General features: G+C 38.1%; 1 protein-coding gene across 1 annotated transcript in view; it reads left to right on the forward strand.

The window, feature by feature from the left end:
- Positions 1-20290, forward strand: part of CR1 (complement C3b/C4b receptor 1 (Knops blood group)) — a 145609-nt gene that overhangs the window by 16677 nt on the left and 108642 nt on the right. The window contains exons 5-9 of the mRNA NM_000651.6: positions 10778-11176; positions 13920-14096; positions 14188-14290; positions 15883-15968; positions 19347-19565. Coding sequence (NP_000642.3) covers positions 10778-11176; positions 13920-14096; positions 14188-14290; positions 15883-15968; positions 19347-19565 — 984 coding nt within the window. The remainder of the gene's footprint in view (positions 1-10777; positions 11177-13919; positions 14097-14187; positions 14291-15882; positions 15969-19346; positions 19566-20290) is intronic.

Genomic DNA, 20290 nt, shown 5'->3' on the forward strand with positions numbered 1-20290 from the left:
TATACCTGTATTTATTTTTTATCTCTGTTTCTACTTCTGTAACCTCTCTGTATCCAAATCCTGGTAAATGGCCTCAAGTCTTCTTGGAAAAGGCTAGGGGAAGATTTACAATACATGCTTTTGATTGTGTAGCATGGTGCTTCCTCAAGAGAATCCAGTCTCCCATCCGTTGGTGCTGCTCTGGGTCTATAAACTATTCAAGTCTAGGAATTGTTGATGAACAATGAACTTCTTTTGCAATAATTCAAGTCAGACTTCTATTCACTTGACCTAAAACTCTTACACTTATACAAATCAAGTAACACTTTAGTCGGCTATCCGTCTACTTTGGTTTTAGAGACTCCATGATCAATTAGCCCAATAACAATGTCCTCTTCAATCAAATCATTCTGATTGCTGTTTCAGCTCAAATATGCATTACAAGAACCCCCATTGTCTCTGGCAATTAAGTGCTGCCACTGGGACTCTGCCACCCTGAGGTCCTTTGGTCCCCAAGTGAATTCAGAGAATCCAGTTCAATGGCAACAGTTCCCATTGTCATTCCTGGCCTACAGAGAATGAACCGTTGCAGAGGATGCTGAAACTCCCCATGTGAATGTATTTCTCAAGCCTCTGGTAAAAGGTCTGTCTTCTGAACCCTCTACTCCTGCACTGTGCCTCACCAGCTCTATCCAAGGATACAACTTTCAGAGTGGAATGGCTGTTGCTTAACTTCTGCCTCTCAAATATCAGGCTAATTTCTCATGCTATAACCCTAGTCCAGAACCGTACAGAGAAAGTAAGTCTGGAAAACTTAATTCCAAATTGGCCTGGTTGACATGGTGCCAAACCACCAAATAATTATAATTTTATTTAACTCTTTGTCTTCTTTTCTTTCTTTCCTTCCCTCCCTCCCTCCTTTCCTCCCTCCCTCCCTCCCTCCCTCCCTCCCTTCCTTCCTTCCTTCCTTCTTTCCTTCCTTCCTTCCTTCCTTCCCTCTTTCCTTATTTTCTTTCTTCTTTACCACGCTGGCTAGGACCACCAGTATAACATTGAACATTGGTAGCAATAGATGTCATCCTTGTCTTGTTCCACATCTCAAAGTTAAAGTTTAAAACATTTCACCATTAAGCTGGTGTTTACTGTAGGCTTTTGGTAGATAACCATTTTTGAAATAAGGAAATTATCTTATATATTCTTCATTGCTAAAAAATTTATGTCTTTGAATCATGTTGAAGTTTATCAAACACTTTAGTTACATATATTGATGTAATCATATCTGTTTCTCTTTTTCTGTTAATGCAACAAATTGTTTTGAGTACATTTTTGAAAGGCAAATGATTTTAAATTTCAATTTTACATTCTTAAAATAAATCAACTCAGTCATAATATTTAATCATTTTTATATATGGCAAATATGCTTTTATGATATATTTTAGATGTTTCTATTAAAATATAATTCATGTATCATAAAAGTTACCTTTTTAAATTATACAATTTAGTGGTGTTTAGTATATTCACAAAGTTGTGTGTTATGGTCTGAACGTTTGAGTCCACCCCAAATCCATATGTTGAAATCCTTACCCCTAAAGTGATGACATTAGGAAGTGAGGCCTTTGAAAGATGATTAGGGCATGAGAGCAGAGCCATCACGAATGGGATTAGCGTCCTAATAAAAGAGGCCCGGAAGAGCTCCTTTGGCCCTCCCACCATGGGAGGAGATGCTGAATCTGCCAGTGTTGGTCTTGAACTCCCCAGCCTCCAAAACTACAAGAAATAAATTTCTGTTGTGTACAAGCTAACCAGTTTATAGTATTTTGTTATAGCAGCCCAAATAGACTAAGACATTGGGCAACCAGCACCGCCAATTAATTCTAGAACACTTTCATCATCCCATTCCTAACATATTTTAGAGATAAGACTATAATTTTCTTTCTTGTAATGTCCTTAATAAGATTTTGATATCAAAGCTATGACAGTCTTATAAAGCCAGCTGGTAGTGTTTCATATATTTGTTTCCTTGTAAGGGTTTATATAAGATTGGCATTATTTCTTCTTTAAAAATAATTCACCAGAAAAGGTATGTGGCCTGGAGTTTACGTTCTTGGGAAGTTTTTTTTTTTCCAACCATTTTCCTGTACCATGTAGACTTTTGGCTGAAGTATAACATATATATATATATACACACACACACACACACACACACACACACACATATATACATATATACTTATATGTATATATGTATATATACGTATATACGTATGCATACGTGTATGTATATGTGTATATATGTACGTATATATACATACGTACGTATATATACGTGTATACGTATATATACATATACATATATAGGTATATACATATATACGTATATATACATATACATATATAGGTATATACATATATATACGTATATATACATATACATATATAGGTATATACGTATACGTATACATATATAGGTATATGTATACATATATACACACTATATATATATACACATATATATAGTGTGTATATATGCACACATCTTAATCATGCAGTTCAATGGAGTTTTACAAAGTAAATGTATCCATGTAAACGTCACTCAGATTAAGATATAGAACATTATCAGCACCCCAGAAGCCTTCCCGATGCCCTTTCCCAGTTATCTTCCCAAAGAAACCACTATTCTGATTTATAACACTAATAGTTTTGTTGCTTCCTAAATTTTATATTAAAGGAATCAAAAAATAGATACTCTTTTGTGTCCAGCTTCATCTCAATGTTATATTTGGAAGAGTCATTTTTGTTTTTGCAGGAAGGATTGTTGGGTCTTCTTTATTATTATGTTGTATTTCATTGATGATCTTGAGTACCTTTTCACGTTTGTGAAGTGCTATTCCAAACTTTTGCCTATTATTTATTAGTTTGTCTATTGTTTTGTAGAAGTTCTTTAAATATTCTCATGTTTTCTAATAAATGTAACACAAATATTGTCTTTCAGGCTGTGGCTTTTCTTTTTTCCTTCTTAATGATGTCTTTTGTTTATGAAAGTTCTACATTTTAATAATATTCAATTTAGGAGTCTTCTTTTTTCCAGTTACTGCTTTTTCTATTCTACTTAAGCAATTGGGCCAAGTGAGGTGGCTCATGTCTATAATCCCAGCATTTTGGAAGGCCAAGGCAGGAGGATTGCTTGAAGCCAGGAGTTCAAGACCAGCCTGGGCAGCAGAGTGAGACCCTGTCTCTACAAAAAAAATAAATATATAAAATTAGCTGGGCTCAGTGGCACATGCCTGTAGTCCCAGCTACTTGGGAGGCTGAGGTGGGAGGATCCCTTGAGCACAGAGGTTCAAGGCTTCAGTGAGTTATGATGGTGCCACTGCACTCCAGCCTAGGTGACAAAGCCCTGTTTCTTATGGATGGGCAATAGATCTAATATCATCTATTAAAAAGACTATTCCTTGCATAGTGCAATGCGACACCACCATGACCATAAGTCAGGTGACCTTATGAGTGGATCTCATTCCAGAGAGGTTCTGTTTCACTGGTTTATTTGCCATACTATAAGCACTACATTAAGATTTTAATTACTATAGCATTACATTAAGATTTGATATCTGGTAGCATATATCTCCTAACTATGTGCATCTTCAAGATTTACTTGGTGATTCTTGGCCCTTTGCATTACCATATAAAATTTAGAATCAGCTTGTCAATTTCCACATAAAGAATCCTACTTGAATTTGTATTAAGTTTCTGTTGACTCAGTAGATCAATTTGTGGACAAGTAACAAATTTACAGTTTTGAAGTTTAAATTTATGAATATGATATATCCTCCCATTTTGAAGTCTTCTTTAATTTCTTTTAATAATATTTGTTAATGTACATTATAGAAGTCATGTACCTATTTCATTATCTTTATTCTGACATATTATTTTTAAAATTTCATTCTTTAATTATTTACTTCTTAGATATGCACCTGTTTCATCTCAGCTCCAGCAAATTTGTTAAATTTACTTATAAATTGAATAGTTTATCTGTAGATTCTTTTGAATTTGCTGTGTAATTATGTCATCTATGAATCTGACAAAGTTTTTACATCTTTTCCTTTCTTATGTCTTTTGTTTATTTCTCTTGCTTTATTGCATTGGCTAGAACCTCCAGTACAATATTGAATAGAAGACATGATACAAGGCTTTTAATAGTCCTCATAAATCATGATGTATGCTGTAGATTTTTGCATGATATCCTTTATTAGATTAAGGAAACTCCCCTTTCTTTCTAATTACTAAAAGATTTATGAATGTTCTTTCTAATTGATCACTGCATGTATTGAGATTATCATGTTTCTTTTTCACTCTGTTAATGTAATATATTACATTGATTGATGTTTAAAAGACAAACGCTGAATTCCTAGAATAAACCTATGTTGCTTGTGATGTGTTATAGATGATTATCCTATGTATGGGGGATATGCGTGTGTGTGTGTGCAGGATTGCTCATATTTTTATTGTAACATTGTAACATTGATTTAATATTTAAAATCAGTCAAGGTAAACCTCACTTTGATCATTGTATCATCCTTTGGAAATATTGCTGGATTCAGTTTCATAATATTTTGTTCAGAAAATTTGCATTTATATTCTCAAGAGATCTTGGGTTATAATTTGCTTTTATTTTAATGTCCTTATCAGGTTTGGGCATCAAGATTATGTTGGCCTGATAAAATGTGTTAAAAATTATTTATTTTTTCTAGTGTCTGGAACAATTTGTGTAACATTATTTTTCCTTATATGTTTGGAAGAATTCAGCAGTGAAGCAATCTGGACCTGAGGGTTTGTTGTTGTTGTTGTCAGGATTTAATATCTTTAATAGCTGTAAAACTATTATTTTATATCTTATTGAATTAGTTTGGGTAAGTTATATTTTTCAAGGAATTTACTCATTTTATTTAGATTTCCTAGGTTATCAGCATAATGCTGTTTATTATAGTCTCATATTAGCCTTTGGATGCCTGTAAGTTCTGTAGTGATACCCTTACACTCATTAATTTCTGATATTGGTAATTTCTTTTGCTTCTTTTTCCTTGATTAGTTTTACCGGGGCTTTATCAATTTTACTAAGCTTTTCAGAAAAACAACTTTTAACTTTCTTGTTTTTTCTTTAGTTTATGACTATTTTCTCTTTTATTGATTTCTGCTTTAAGCTTTGTGTATTCCTCCAGTCCTAAATTCTTGATACTAATTAATTTGTTTCCAACCTTTATTTTTCTAATATGTACATTTAACCTATCAATTTTTCTCTAAAACTGTTTTATTTATTTCCAACAATCTTTATATTTTTATTATCATTGTACATAAAAGCTTTCTAATTTCACTTTTAATATCTCCTCTGACCCATAGGCTGTTTAGAAGGGCATTGCTTAATTTCTAAATATTTAGAGATCTTCTAGTTATCATTCTTTCATTAATTTAATCATTTGAGACATGGTTTATTGCCCAGAATATGGACGATTTTGGTAAAATGTTACATATGCACTTGAATGTACAGTTATTTTGCTTCATTTTCTAGAAATGTCATTTAGGAAAATGTGGTTTAGAACAGTCTTTTTTTCCCCCTCCACTTGTTCTCTCAGTTATGGAGAAGCATGTGTAAAATATCTGTATTAGTTTCCCAGGGCTGCTGTAACAAATTACCACAAACTTAGTGGCTTCAAAGAAGAGAAATTTACTCTCTTAACAGTTTGGAGGCCAGAAATCCAGTTAAGATGTCAATAGGATTGGTTCCATCTGCAAGCTGTTCTGTGCCTCTCTCCAGGCTTCCTTCCAGTGGCTGCTGGCAATCGTTGATGTTCCTTGGCTTGTAGATGCATCATTTCCTTCTCTGTCTCCATCTTCTCATCGCCTTCTCCTCTGTGTGTGTCCTTTGCTCTTCTGTCTCCTATAAAGACACTGGACATGGATTTAGAGGCCACCCTGGCAATCCAGAATGGTCACAGCTCGAGATCATTAACGTGATTGTATCTACAAAGACTCTCCAAACTGGGTCATATTCACAGGTTTCAGAGATCAGGACACAGATATTTTTTAAGGAGGACAGTGGTTATTCAACCCATTACAATCCCCAACTACAACTATGAATTTGTCTGTCTTTCCTCTTTGTTCTAGCAATTTTTACTTTATGTATTTTAAACATGTTATTAAATGCATGAAATTTTTGGTTTATTCTTTCTGCTGAATTGACTATTTTATCATAATGAAATGTCTCTCTTTACCTCTCATAATACTTCTTACCTTAAAATCTACTTTGCATATTAATACAGCTATATAAGCTTTCTTTATTGTTTTTATATTATATGTGTTTTAAATCTTTTACTTTCAGCCCTTCTTTGTCTTATATTTAAAGCTTGTCTCTTATAAACATCATATAGTAAGGTTTTGTTGTTTTATTCAGTCTTAGTTGTTCATTGGTGTGTTTGGAACATTAAAATTTAATAATAAAAATTAAAAATAAATAAATTTAATATAGTTACTGATATAAAGTCTAAGTCTTGGTATTTGTTTCATGTGTTTGTTCCTTTATTCCTCATTTCTCACATTTTTTAATTCATCAAGTATTTTTATTATTCTATTTCCCCAGTAGCTTTTAAGTTATATTCCATTTTTTATTCTTAAATGACTACTCTAGAGATAGACATCCTTGATTTACTATAGTCTGCTAAAATTGTACTTTTACCACTCTCCAAACAACGCAAGTACCGAAACTATTAATAGTTAATTCCATTTATGTCCTCCCCCTCTTTTTGTATTGTTGCCATACGTTTTGCAAAAAGAAAAGCTTCAGCTGAATTAAATTTAAAAGAGTTTAATTGAGCAATGAACGATTCGCAAATCAGGCAGCCTCCCGAGCCAAAGTAAGCGCAGAGACTCCAGCCCAGCTGCAATGGGGGAAGAGGATTTACCGACAGAAAAAGGAAACTGACGTACAGAAAACAGAAGTGAGGTACAGAAACAGCCGATTGGTTATAGCTCAGCGTTTGCCTTATTTGAAAACAGTTCAAACAGTTGGCCACATTTGATTGGCCAAAACTCGGTGATTGGCGTAAGAGTAGTCTGCGGTCTGTTTACATCTTCACTTGTTATAGTTTGCAGTTTACAGAGAAACCTTTAGGCTGAGCTTAAACTACGTAAGGCTTTAGGCTAAACTTGATTTAACGATTTACATATATTCTATATTTCAAAGACACTGTTGTCTTTATAAAAACAGTATTTATTTATATTTACACCTTAGTGAATTCTTAGAATTTTTATGTTGCCTCAGCATCCATTTAGAATATGTTTAGCTTTCTCATGCCAGAAGCAGGGCTTAGTCACCCTTAATGCCCTTTCTAGTTCTGTACCTCCTCCCAATTTTGCAACGTGGTCGAGCCAGATATCTGCCTTATACAACTGCCTCCTGGTGACCACCTCTCTATGGGACAGCTAGATAAAACCTACTTGACTAGCGTCCCTGACCTCTGTGCCCTGCATGGACTTCGCAGATATGCTGCCGTGACCACCTCTCAGTCGCAGCACGACTGCCTGGAACATGTGCCTGCTTTCTTTAAACTCACCAATTAGAACTCCCCATGGGAGATACCTTGGCTTGTAGATGCAAGATGCTGGGTCATACTCTGGTCCCCAATAAAGGCATTGGCTGATGGGTCCCCTTCTCTCTGTCTGTCTCCTCGCGCTGACCAACCTCTGTGTGATCTTCAGGCGTGCCATACCCCCAGCCCGTAATAAAATCTTTACTGCCATCTTGTGTTTCTTGTAATGACTGAAGAGGTTTTCTCTATCATAAAGATCCTAAATGAAAACATACCCGCATATGAGCTCTTTCTGGTGTGTTTCCTTCTTATTGCAATTCTGTCAATTCTATATGAAACTATTTTCCTTCAGCCTGAAAAAGTCTCTTTGGCATTTTTGTATTGTAGAGCTTCTGACAACAAATTCTTTAAACATTTTTCTAAGTGTGGTTCCTCTGAAGGTTATTGTCCATGTTTCCTGGCTGCTTTTAAAATGGATTACACTTTAAAACAGATTTTTTACAATATTATTGTGTTGTGTCTAGGTAAGAATTTCTTTGTATTGCTTGGGTTTGCACATTTTTTTTTTTTTGGTTGTTTTTTTTTTTTTTTTTTTTTTTTTGACAGAATTTCACTCTTATCACCTGGGCTGGAGTGCAGTGGTGGGATATCTCGGCTCACTGCAACCTCCGCCTCCGGGGTTCAAGTTATCCTCCCACTTCAGCCTTCCAAGTAGCTGCAATTACAGGCCTGTGCCTCCATGCCTGGCTAATTTTTACCCTTTTAGTAGAGATGGGTTTTCACCATGTTGACCAGGCTGGTCTCAAACTCCTGACAAGAGGTGATCTGCCCACCTCGGCCTCCCAAACTGCTGGGATTACAGGCATGAGCCACCGTGCCAGGCCTGTATAGCCTTTTGAACCTGTAATTTAATGATGTCTTGCATCAGTCTTGGAAAATTCTCAGTTATTAATTCTTCAAATGTTGTTTATGCTCAGTTCTCTCTCTCTTCTCATCGAGGGACTTCAGTTAAACATGCTAGGCTTTATTCTTCTATGTATTTAGTCTGTATTTTTTAATCTTTTTATATATTGGTGCTTGGTTTTGAGTATTTTCTTCTGTCCTAGCTTCCGGTTCATTGATTTTCTTTCAGAGTCTAACCTGCTATTAATCTCACACAAATTCTTAATTTCAGCAATCATATTTTACTTTTACAATTCTAGACTTTTTATTTTCCAAATCTGCCCTCTTCCTTTTTTTTTTTTTTTTTTTTTTTTTTGAGACAGGGTCTCACTTTGTTGCCCAGGTTGGAGCACAGTAGCATAATCATAGCTCACTGCAGCCTCAACCTTCACAGGCTCAAGCAATTCTCCCACCTCAGCCACCTGAGTAGCTGGGAATGCAGGTGTGCACCACCACACCTACACATCTGGATAATATATATATATATATATATGTATATATACTTTTTTTTTTTTGTCGAGACAGGGTTTCGCCATGTTGCCCAGGCTGGTCTCAAACTCCTGAGCTCAAACGATCCACTCTCCTCAGCCTCCCATAGCGTTAGAATTACAGGCGTGAGCCACCACATCCCACCCTGTTCTTTTTAATAGTTTCTAGTTCTTACAAGTTTCAATTATACCCTTGAACAGGTCTGTAGTTCTAATGGGTCAGTTTCTGTCATCAGTAATTGTGTGTGTTATTTTATCTCTCCAAATATCTGGTTATCTTTGATTGTGTATCAGGAATTCTATTTGAAAACTGTGTCTGTAGAAATAATTTCAAGGCCTTAGATAACCCATCTTCTTCCAGATGGAATTTTTGTCATTGTTTCTGCAGGCATCTGGGGACATTAGCAATCTAGGACCACTCTAATTCAGTCTCAGGAACTGTGATTTTCCAGGGCCACCCACAGTACCAGTACTTGAAGTACTAGTTCCAGTCTCTGAGACAGCAAATTTATTTTCAGTTAACCCTGATTACCAGGGCCTAGTTCTTGTGGCCTCAGAACACATCAGAAGGTATTACCAGGCCTTCCATTTGGGGCAGGCCCTGGACTTCCATTGTTGTCCCTTAACTTCATGAGAAAATCAAAAGTCTGTTCAGCCTCTCAGTTGCCCCGTCCTGATTCAGCTGCCCATTCCCAAACAATAAGCAGCCCAGTTGCCAAGCCCAAATACCCAGCTCTCAACTGGATTCTCATCTTCTCCTAGATCATGGCCCAGGAATGCTTCACTAGTTTGTTAGCTTTCTGATGCTTTAACAGATAAATATTTTTAATTCTCCAGTATTTCTAGCCTTTCTTGAGGGTGGATGGTTGGAGCAATATTTTATTTGAACTGTTGAGATTACTATTAGTAGAAGCAGAGCCTGAAAAATTTTTATTTTTAATTTTAATTCATTCATTTCTAAATTTATCCAATTAAATTCACTCAGTTTTAATTTCAAGTGTTTTGGGATTTGGGTTGAAGAAATTTTGTTCTAGTTTATAGCAACACAGTATACTATGTACTACTGCTATACTTTAAAATGTATTTAGGGGTTTTTGTGGACTAATATATGATCACTTTTACACAGATATCATCTTATGATATCAAACTTAGATTTGATGAAATGAGTTGGTAAGCTTCATATCTTTTATATGTTGTGAAACCTTGAAATTACATTTGGAAGTATATTTTTGAATGAATTTTGGTAATTTGTATTTCCATTTATATCATTTAGATTTTCAAAATATTTAACCCCCTGTAGTCTACAGTTTTATAAATATTCTCATATACATAAAAATATGTTTAAATTCTTTTTCCTACTGTGTATATTTGTGTTTTCTCTCATCCCTTATACTTTATCTTTTAGCAAATGTTTTTGTATTTTATTTTTCTAAAAAAGCTAACCTTGGTTAATAACAAAAATGGAAATTAAGAAAGCAAACGGAAAAGAGTAGGAGAAAACTGTATAAATACTATAACACTATGATCAAAGAGCTATTTAAAATGAAAAGAATGTGGATTGAGTTAATACATGCATGCAAATACTATAGGAAATCATATCAGTAAGAAAGGCAGGACACATCATATTATGCCCATTGAAGCTACAACTTTATAAAAATGTACCTATGTGTTAGCAAAGATTAAAAGCAAATAATGAATGTAAAAATAGCTATAGTTTAGTGACTCATGAGATTTCTGTCATTCATTATTTAAACTGACTGTTATTTATCCTGCTCTTCCTTTTTCCAGGAATTCCTTGTGGGCTACCCCCCACCATCACCAATGGAGATTTCATTAGCACCAACAGAGAGAATTTTCACTATGGATCAGTGGTGACCTACCGCTGCAATCCTGGAAGCGGAGGGAGAAAGGTGTTTGAGCTTGTGGGTGAGCCCTCCATATACTGCACCAGCAATGACGATCAAGTGGGCATCTGGAGCGGCCCCGCCCCTCAGTGCATTATACCTAACAAATGCACGCCTCCAAATGTGGAAAATGGAATATTGGTATCTGACAACAGAAGCTTATTTTCCTTAAATGAAGTTGTGGAGTTTAGGTGTCAGCCTGGCTTTGTCATGAAAGGACCCCGCCGTGTGAAGTGCCAGGCCCTGAACAAATGGGAGCCGGAGCTACCAAGCTGCTCCAGGGGTGAGTCTGACTGAGGCCTAGAAGGGCCCTGCCAGTGACATGCGTTGCTGTTGGATCAGGAGATTAGTATTTGTTCAGGGGGAGGGATGTGTGCTGAGCAGGGTCGAGGAGCAAATTTTCTAGGTAGTGAACATGAAATTCAGAAGGTGTGTGTACATGCACATGTGCTGAAATTGCGAAGCAAAGCTCAACCTGGGCAAGGGATATGATGTTTCTTTGGGGTTCTTATAAACAGATCTATCAATTACCTTTGAGTATAATAATGGTTGATACAAAATGAGTGATTCCTCTGGCCGGGCACTATAATACAGGCTACATGTGAATTTTAATCCTTAAAACAAAGTTATTAGGTAGTTACCAGTTGTTCTATGTTTGTCTGTATTGTTTTGCTTGAGATACTGTCTTGATCTGTCACTCACGTTGAACTGCTGTGGTGCCATCATGACTTACTTCAACCTCCGCCTCTCTGGCTCAAGCAAGTCTCCTGCCTGAGCCTCCCAAGTAGCTGGGAATATAGGTGCATGCCACCATGCCTGGATAAGTTTTTTATATATTTTTTGTAGGGATAGAGTCTCACCATGTTGCCCAGGCTGGTCTCGAACTCCTCAGCTCAAGCAATTCACCCACCTTGGCCTCCCAAAGTGCTGGGATTATAGGCATGAGCCACCGTGCCCGGCCTCTATGTTTTATAGAGAATATGTGCCTTAGACACATCAGATAACATTCTGAGACAGTAACTTGCAGACAAAACTGGATTGCAAGTCCACCTCACTCCAGAGCCTTGGCTTTGCTCATCAGCATTCAGTCATGAAATCAAAACTTACTCTAGATACTTTCAAGGAGGGAGGGATTTCATGCAGGTTGTATTAGTCTGTTCTCACATTCCTATAAAAAACTACTTGAGCCTGGGTAATTTATAAAGAAAAGATGCTTACTTGACTCAGAGTTCTGTAGGCTGTACAGGAGGCATGGCTAGGGACCCCTCAGGAAAGTTACAATCATGGTGGAAGGTAAAGAGGAAGCACGCATATCTTCATATGCTTGGCAGGAGAGAGAGAGAGAGCAAGGCAGAGGTGCTACACACTTTGGAACAAGCAGATCTCGAGAGAACTCTATCACAAGACAGCACTAGGGTGATGGTGCTCAACCATAAGAAACCACCTCCATGATCCAGTCACTTCCCACCAGGCTCCTTCTCCAACACTGGGAATTACCATTTGACATGAGATTTGGGAGGGGACATAGAGCCAAATCATATCGCAGCTAATAGGTCACAAAAATGTTAGAAGGGCAGGAAAAGCAATAGGACAAAGGCAAAGTTACGAGAGATCAGGGAGCTGCTGTGGCTCCCAGTCTACAGCACAGGAGCCTGGAGTGATGGTGAAATGGCCAGCCCCTCCCACTGAGCAGGCAGCTCCCTGTAAGCTGCTAGTGCTGCAGGAGCCACCACTGCTGCCAGAATGCAGCTGATATTGCTGGAGCCAAAGTCATTGGCATCGTTACAATTGAAGCTGTAGCTACTCACTGAAGCCATCTATACTGCCACTGCCTGAGCCACTTCTAGAAGTAGAACAGATTCTGCCATCATCCTGCTTTTTAATTTGGTATATATGCCTCCAATTGGCAGAACCTAACCAGAGCCCAGCTATCAAGGAAGATGAACAATTGTAGTTTTAAGGCTTCCTTTGCTAGCTGTCAAAAGACAGTGCAGAAGTGTGAGGCTGGGGGCCAACAGAAATTTAACCAGCACAGCACCTCAATATTACATCACCAGGCATTGATTAGTCCAGGGAAACACTGGGTGATGAGCCCTGAAAATGGACATTACAGCATCAGAGTATTTACAAACTCCCTAAAGAAGTCATTTTTCTATTCCAATCCCCCATTTGATGCTTGAGAAAGCTGAAGTCCAGAAAAGGGAACTGATCTGCTCAAAGACAAACCGAAATTATTTTTTCCATTTTATAACAGTTTTATGTAATTTAGTTGAGATCCAAATGTGTTCTGATTTCCTGAGTTCCAATCAACTATATTAAGAGAGAGCCAGCGCTGCCCTTACAATATGTTGCGTAAATATACACTCTCATCATGGTGACAGTAGGTCTTTCAGATTTTGTTCGACAGTTTCCCACCTTCTCACTGAAGTGAAATGAATGACTAGGCAGCACCTTGCTACATAGCATGAGGAGAGGAGACCCATAGTTCTTTACCATCCTATGTCAGGTGGCCGCTGAGAGAAGACTTGAAAGGAGATGAGCATAGATGTATGGACGCTCTTTGTTGCACCAGTGTGATAGGTGATGGAGGGACCTATTAGATGAGACATGGGCAGGGGCACTCCTTTATTGCTTAAAATGCAAGACTAAATTGGTGATGCCTTTCTAGAAAGGAAGTATGAAGATACGAAAATCCATCATTCCTCCCAATTTTGTACTGGGTGAACAGTAATTGGAAGCATTCTAGAAGGAACTGTCCATTGTGAAATCTTAGTTGCATACTTTAGATGAAAAACAATGAATTGGAGATACCTCTGTTTTAGTCACAGTTGTGCCACGTGTCAGTTCTATGACTGATGGCAAGACATCTTCCTTGCCCTGTGTATTTAGTTTATCAATGTAATAAGGCTGTTATTCTAACTTTATTATTATATATAGATTTGTAATTATTATTCCCTTGGCCAGTTTAACAGTGAGAAAAAAGTTGTTTTCACACAATTAGCTGTACTTTGTTTCTCTCTCCCCAGTATGTCAGCCACCTCCAGATGTCCTGCATGCTGAGCGTACCCAAAGGGACAAGGACAACTTTTCACCTGGGCAGGAAGTGTTCTACAGCTGTGAGCCCGGCTACGACCTCAGAGGGGCTGCGTCTATGCGCTGCACACCCCAGGGAGACTGGAGCCCTGCAGCCCCCACATGTGAAGGTGACTAGACTCTTATCTGGCTTGATATTTTTAGCTTGCGTCTTTATTCTCCACATGCCAGTGATTTCTGTTCGTTTTTCTTTATCTCCAGTGAAATCCTGTGATGACTTCATGGGCCAACTTCTTAATGGCCGTGTGCTATTTCCAGTAAATCTCCAGCTTGGAGCAAAAGTGGATTTTGTTTGTGATGAAGGGTGAGTATGAGCTTGCCTGACCTGCTGGACATTGAAATTGGGGTTGGGAATCAGTCTAAAAAGGGGAGATTTGGTGTGGCACACACACACACACCTTCAGAGAGATGAACTTTCGAAAGTATACCTAGGAAGAAAGGAAAGAAACATATAGAACTAATAACATGAGATATGAAGAGGAAACTGGAACATATATTAACTGGCAAGTTCAAAGGCAAGTATAACTACTGGTTATGAATATATAAGTAACACATTAAGCAAAAAATATCAGCCAGAAACGGTGGCTCACCCCTGTAATCCTAGCACCTTTGGGAGGTTGAGGCGGGCAGATCACCTGAGGTCAGGAGTTGGAGACCAGCCTGGACAACATGATGAAACCCTGTCTCTACTAAAAATACAAAAGTTAGCTGGGTGTGGTGGCATGTGCCTGTAATCCCAGCTATTCCGGAGGCTGAGGCACCAGAATCACTTGAACCTGGGAGGTGGAGTTTGCAGTGAGCCGAGATGGCACCATTGCACTCCAGCGTGGACAATAAGAGTGAAACTCCATCTCAGGAAAAAAAATCATATTTTACAAGCAAAAAGGAATATGAGTAATTTAGAGAGTCCCAGGAAAAAACTGGAAGTAACAAAAGCTTATTATAAAAAGCTAGGATCATTTGTGAATCATTTCAGTAAATTCTTTAAATCGTCAACAGTGAAATTTGTAATAGGACTGAAAATGTAAAAATCAGCATTTTTTAAAAAAATCCAGCCATATATCATCTGGTTAATCATGGGCTCTGGGCTCTGAGCTGGGGTCCTGATGGCTGCTGTTAATATTTCCAGCAAGCTCATTACCTTGTTTATGTCCACCTAGTGCTCTTCGCAGGGTGCACATCTCTACACGGGAGCTGACCGGCATGGGCAACAAAGCACCTGATCCCAAAATGTAACACAGAATCTTGGCAGCCTCCAAATGCCAGCACCCAGTAAGAGTTAGGAGGGCATCGGGGTCCAGCAGACATTGAGAATTTTCGACAATTGCATGCAAAAAATAAGTCCTCTCTTCTTTCCTTTTTCCCCTAGAATATTCATGCTTACTCTTCAGCAGCCCAAATTGCCCTTTTGAGCCTTCTTCACGCCATCACAGATGTGGAGATGAAAGGACAGTCTGTTCTCTCGCCAGCTATTTCCCACTTTTCCACTCCAAACTGGGAGCTGTTTTACTTGCTGTTCCAGGGTCAGAGTTAGGAAGGCATTACATTAGAAGACTGGGTTTCTAATAACAACAATGAGTGATTTATCAGGTTATCATGGAGTAATCAGTGAAACTCCAAGCCTGGGTCCTGGGTCAAGGGGATGGCGCCTATGTCATGACCACCTTTTTCAGTTCAAGCAGGACTATCATGTGACCAAGCTACTGCATTTTGCCATTCTATATTGTTCCCTTCTGGAGGCTGTGATTTTTCCAGAATAAGGTAGCCTGTGCAACTCTGCCACCTGCTGGCCTAAGGTCCTAATAATCCTGAAATTGGGGCTGGGCCTTAGATTGTGAACTAAGGGTTCTCTTGGCTGAAACAGCTCACACTATTCACTCCTATTTTCTTCTTTAGATTTCAATTAAAAGGCAGCTCTGCTAGTTACTGTGTCTTGGCTGGAATGGAAAGCCTTTGGAATAGCAGTGTTCCAGTGTGTGAACGTGAGTAGCAGGAGTAACATTTCAGGCCAGTCTCTCCCTTCATCTGTTCAGTATTTGACCCATGACCTCCCCTAATGTGGTTCTTCAATTTTCTAGTTTGAATTATTGATTTGAAAATTGCTTATTTTAATAATGTTTGGTTGTGAATCAAATGTATACATCACCTGTCTTTGGAACCATCTGATCTGTCTCTGTCCTTCTGTATTCTGTGTTCTAGTGCGATAAATCCTATGGTAGCATGATTCTAGGTCAGGAGAGATTAGATAATGTGAAGCCTTAACAATTTGCTTTCTTTCTCTCTTTCTTTTGTTTCTTTTTTCTCTTCCTTCCTTTCTTCAGTTCTTTCTTCCCTTCTCTTTCTCTCCCCTTTCTTCCTTCCTTCCTCCTTCTTTCTTTTCCATTTTGTTCTTCCATCAGGTGCAGTCTACAATTTTTGTATATATTTGATAATACACAAATATTAAACATGCCTTTATTTAATCAATATTTATTGATCACATACTTTGTGCCTGATGTTCATCTAGCCACAGGAGTTATATCAGTGAACAAGATGAATGAATTCCCTGTCCCCATGTTGTTTCCACTCAGTTGGGGAAAGGGACAAGAAAAAAAATAAATACGATGCTATGAAGATAGTAGAGCAAAGCATTTAGGCATGAGGGAAAAGTGAGGAGCAACATTAGACAAGGCGAGCAGTTTGAGACTCCTTAAATTCTCAAAACATGTACCTAAATAATTTATGCTGAGAGATTCATAAATAATGTCATTTTTAAAAATTTATTATACTTTTAAGTTCTAGGGTACATGTGCACAACGTGCAGGTTTGTTACATATGTATACATGTGCCATGTTGGTGTGCTGCACCCATTAACTCGTCATTTACATTAGGTATATCTCCTAATGCTATCCCTCCCCGCTTCCCCCACCCCACAACAGGCCCCGGTGTGTGATGTTCCCCTTTTTGTGTCCAAGTGTTCTCACTGTTCAATTCCCACCTATGAGTGAGAACATGTGGTGTTTGGTTTTTTGTCCTTGTGATAGTTTGCTGAGAATGATGGTTTCCAGCTTCATCCATGTCCCTAAAAAGGACATGAACTCATCAATTTTTATGGCTGCATAGTATTCCATGGTGTATATGTGCCACATTTTCTTAATCCAGTCTATCATTGATGGACATTTGGGTTGGTTCCAAGTCTTTGCTATTGTGAATAATGCAGCAATAAACATATGTGTGCATGTGTCTTTATAGCAGCATGATTTATAATCCTTTGGGTATATACCCAGTAATGGGATCGCTGGGTCAAATGGTATTTCTAGTTCTAGATCTTTGAGGAATCACCACACTGTCTTCCACAATGGTTGAACTAGGTTACAGTCCCACCAACAGTGTAAAAATGTTCCTATTTCTCCACATCTTCTCCAGCACCTGTTGTTTCCTGACTTTTTAATGATAGCCATTCTAACTGGTGTGAGATGGTATCTCATTGTGGTTTTGATTTGCATTTCTCTGATGGCCAGTGATGATGAGCATTTTTTCATGTGTCTGTTAGCTGCATAAATGTCTTCTTTTGAGAAGTGTCTGTTCATATCCTTCACCCACTTTTTGATGGGGTTGTTTTTTTCTTTTAAATTTGTTTGAGTTCATTGTAGATTCTGGATATTAGCCCTTTGTCAGATGAGTAGATTGCAAAAATGTTCTCCCATTCTGTAGGTTGTCTGTTCACTCTGATGGTAGTTTCTTTTGCTGTGCAGAAGCTCTTTAGTTTAATTATATCCCCTTTGTCAATTTTGGCTTTTGTTGCCATTGCTTTTGGTGTTTTAGACATGAAGTCCTTGCCCATGCCTGTGTCCTGAATGGTATTGCCTATGTTTTCTTCTAGGATTTTTATGGTTTTAGGTCTAACATTTATGTCTTTAATCCATCTTGAATTAATTTTTGTATACAGTGTAAGGAAGGGATCCAGTTTCAGCTTTCTACATATGGCTAGCCAGTTTTCCCAGTACCATTTATTAAATAGGGAATCCTTTCCCCATTTCTTGTTTTTGTCAGGTTTGTCAAAGATCAGATGGTTGTAGATGTGTAGTATTATTTCTGAGGGCTCTGTTCTGTTGCATTGGTCTATATCTCTGTTTTGGTACCAGTACCATGCTGTTTTGGTTACTGTAGCCTTGTAGTATAGTTTGAAGTCAGGTAGTTTGATGCCTCCAGTTTGTTCTTTTGGCTTAGGATAGACTTGGCAATGCAGGCTTTTTAAATAATGTCATTTTTAAAAAATGAGCCCCATATGTTCAATAATGAGTAGACTACTGATTTCTCCTAGTCTCCCCATTTATAATTTCCCCAATAGAAGATAGAACTTTGCTTCATTTCTTGATTCTAATGATTGGGAAATGTGTTTCTTTAGAAAACCATGAAATTTTACTAAAATGTTTATGTTGTTAGAAATGGACATCTTACAGTGCTTTTTAGAGTAAAATTTTGGAAGAACATAACTTATATAGAGATTCTTGCTGTCTAAGAAATTCAGTGCTCCTTGAAGCAGCATGACAAATTTCTGTTCTACCATCATGAATGAAAGCTCATTGATTGGACTACTCAAGCTTTCTCTTATTTTTCATAACTGTTGCTAGTTAAAGTAGCTTCTTCCAAATTCCAGTTCTAATGAAAAATGCCAATTAGAAATGAGGAAGAAACTGTTCTAAACAAATCAGCAGATGCTAGAAAGGAGAAACAACTTGAAACCTGACCCAGAAAGTTAAAAGAGAAAATAAATCATCAACAGACCTAGACATTTTCAAAAGCAAAGCCATCTGAATCCATTTGGAGTTGTTTTTTATCATGGCCTTACTATGTTTTAATTCACTGTGACAGGGCTATTGTTATCACTGAGATTGATGATCAATATCAAGAAGTAATCAGCGAAAGGTTTCACCTATTTAAGATGATTAGCACACATATGTACATTTGAGAAATATTTCCTAAGAATGCAGGCTCCTTCCTCAGCACTCTGTCCCCAGGATCCTGATGAGTGGCTGACACAGGACAAGTGCTTAATTAATATATATTGACTAAATGAATGAGCAACCCTTCAAAATGGCTATTTTTCTTTTTCAAATGTTTTGCTACTTCATTAAAGTTGTAAAGTTTCCATTGTCCAGGAACCGTTACTATCCGGAAGATTCAGGATAGACAAGTCTCTTTTGTACTTTGCAATACACTTTCATTGATATCTCATTTAATCCAACTCTTCAAAGTCCTAATGTCTACTGTCATCTCCTTAGCATATTTTCAGCAACACCAATCATAGCACCCTGTAATTGCAGAATACCTCTGGTGAAACTCCTGAATGAAACTTAGAGCTTTCATGTTTTTTCTAGAAATCTTTTGTCCAAGTCCTCCAGTTATTCCTAATGGGAGACACACAGGAAAACCTCTGGAAGTCTTTCCCTTTGGGAAAACAGTAAATTACACATGCGACCCCCACCCAGACAGAGGGACGAGCTTCGACCTCATTGGAGAGAGCACCATCCGCTGCACAAGTGACCCTCAAGGGAATGGGGTTTGGAGCAGCCCTGCCCCTCGCTGTGGAATTCTGGGTTAGTGCTCATTTCCCCACATCCCAAATGGGTTCAGAATATCTAACCCAGGCCCTCCATATTTCCGTAATTACAATGTGGTATTTATTTGTGCATTTGCCACAATGGAATGCCAAACCAATGATAGATGGTTCTAAGGTAGGTCAACACATAAGATCCTGATGACCTTTGCAGATGGAGGGACTGATGAAAAAAGAGGGAGGCGGTGAGTGGTGGGAAAGTCCTTCATTAGAATCATATGAATTAAAAACAGATGCCTGTGAATCTCCTTATTGAAATGTTTGGTTTAGAAATCTGACCTAGAAAATCGGTGGCTCCTTCTGCCAGGAAACGTCTTGAGTTCCCGCCCATGCTTGACAGCCTCTCATTGGAGTTTTGATGACTTGAAGTACAAGGAAACCAGACAGGAAAGGTGGAACCTGGGCAGAAAAACTCTTTCTGGCTTCCTAAAAATGTGAAAAATTAAATGGGAGCTATCTTTACATTAAATTATATGAGCATTAGCTGAGCGTGGTGGCAATTGCCTGTGGTCCCAGCTACTCGAGAGGCTGAGATGGGAGTATCCCTTAAGCCTGGGAGGCAGAGGTTGCAGTGAGCCAAGATTGTGCCACTGCACTCCAGCCTGGGTGACAGAGCGAGACCCTATCTCAAAAACAATAAAAATAGGCATTAGGAGGCCAAGGCTGGTGGATCACTAGAGGTCAGGAGTTCCAGACCAGCCCGCA

This window comes from Homo sapiens, chromosome 1 (assembly GCF_000001405.40).
Source record: "Homo sapiens chromosome 1, GRCh38.p14 Primary Assembly".
Classification (NCBI taxonomy): Eukaryota; Metazoa; Chordata; class Mammalia; order Primates; family Hominidae; genus Homo; species Homo sapiens.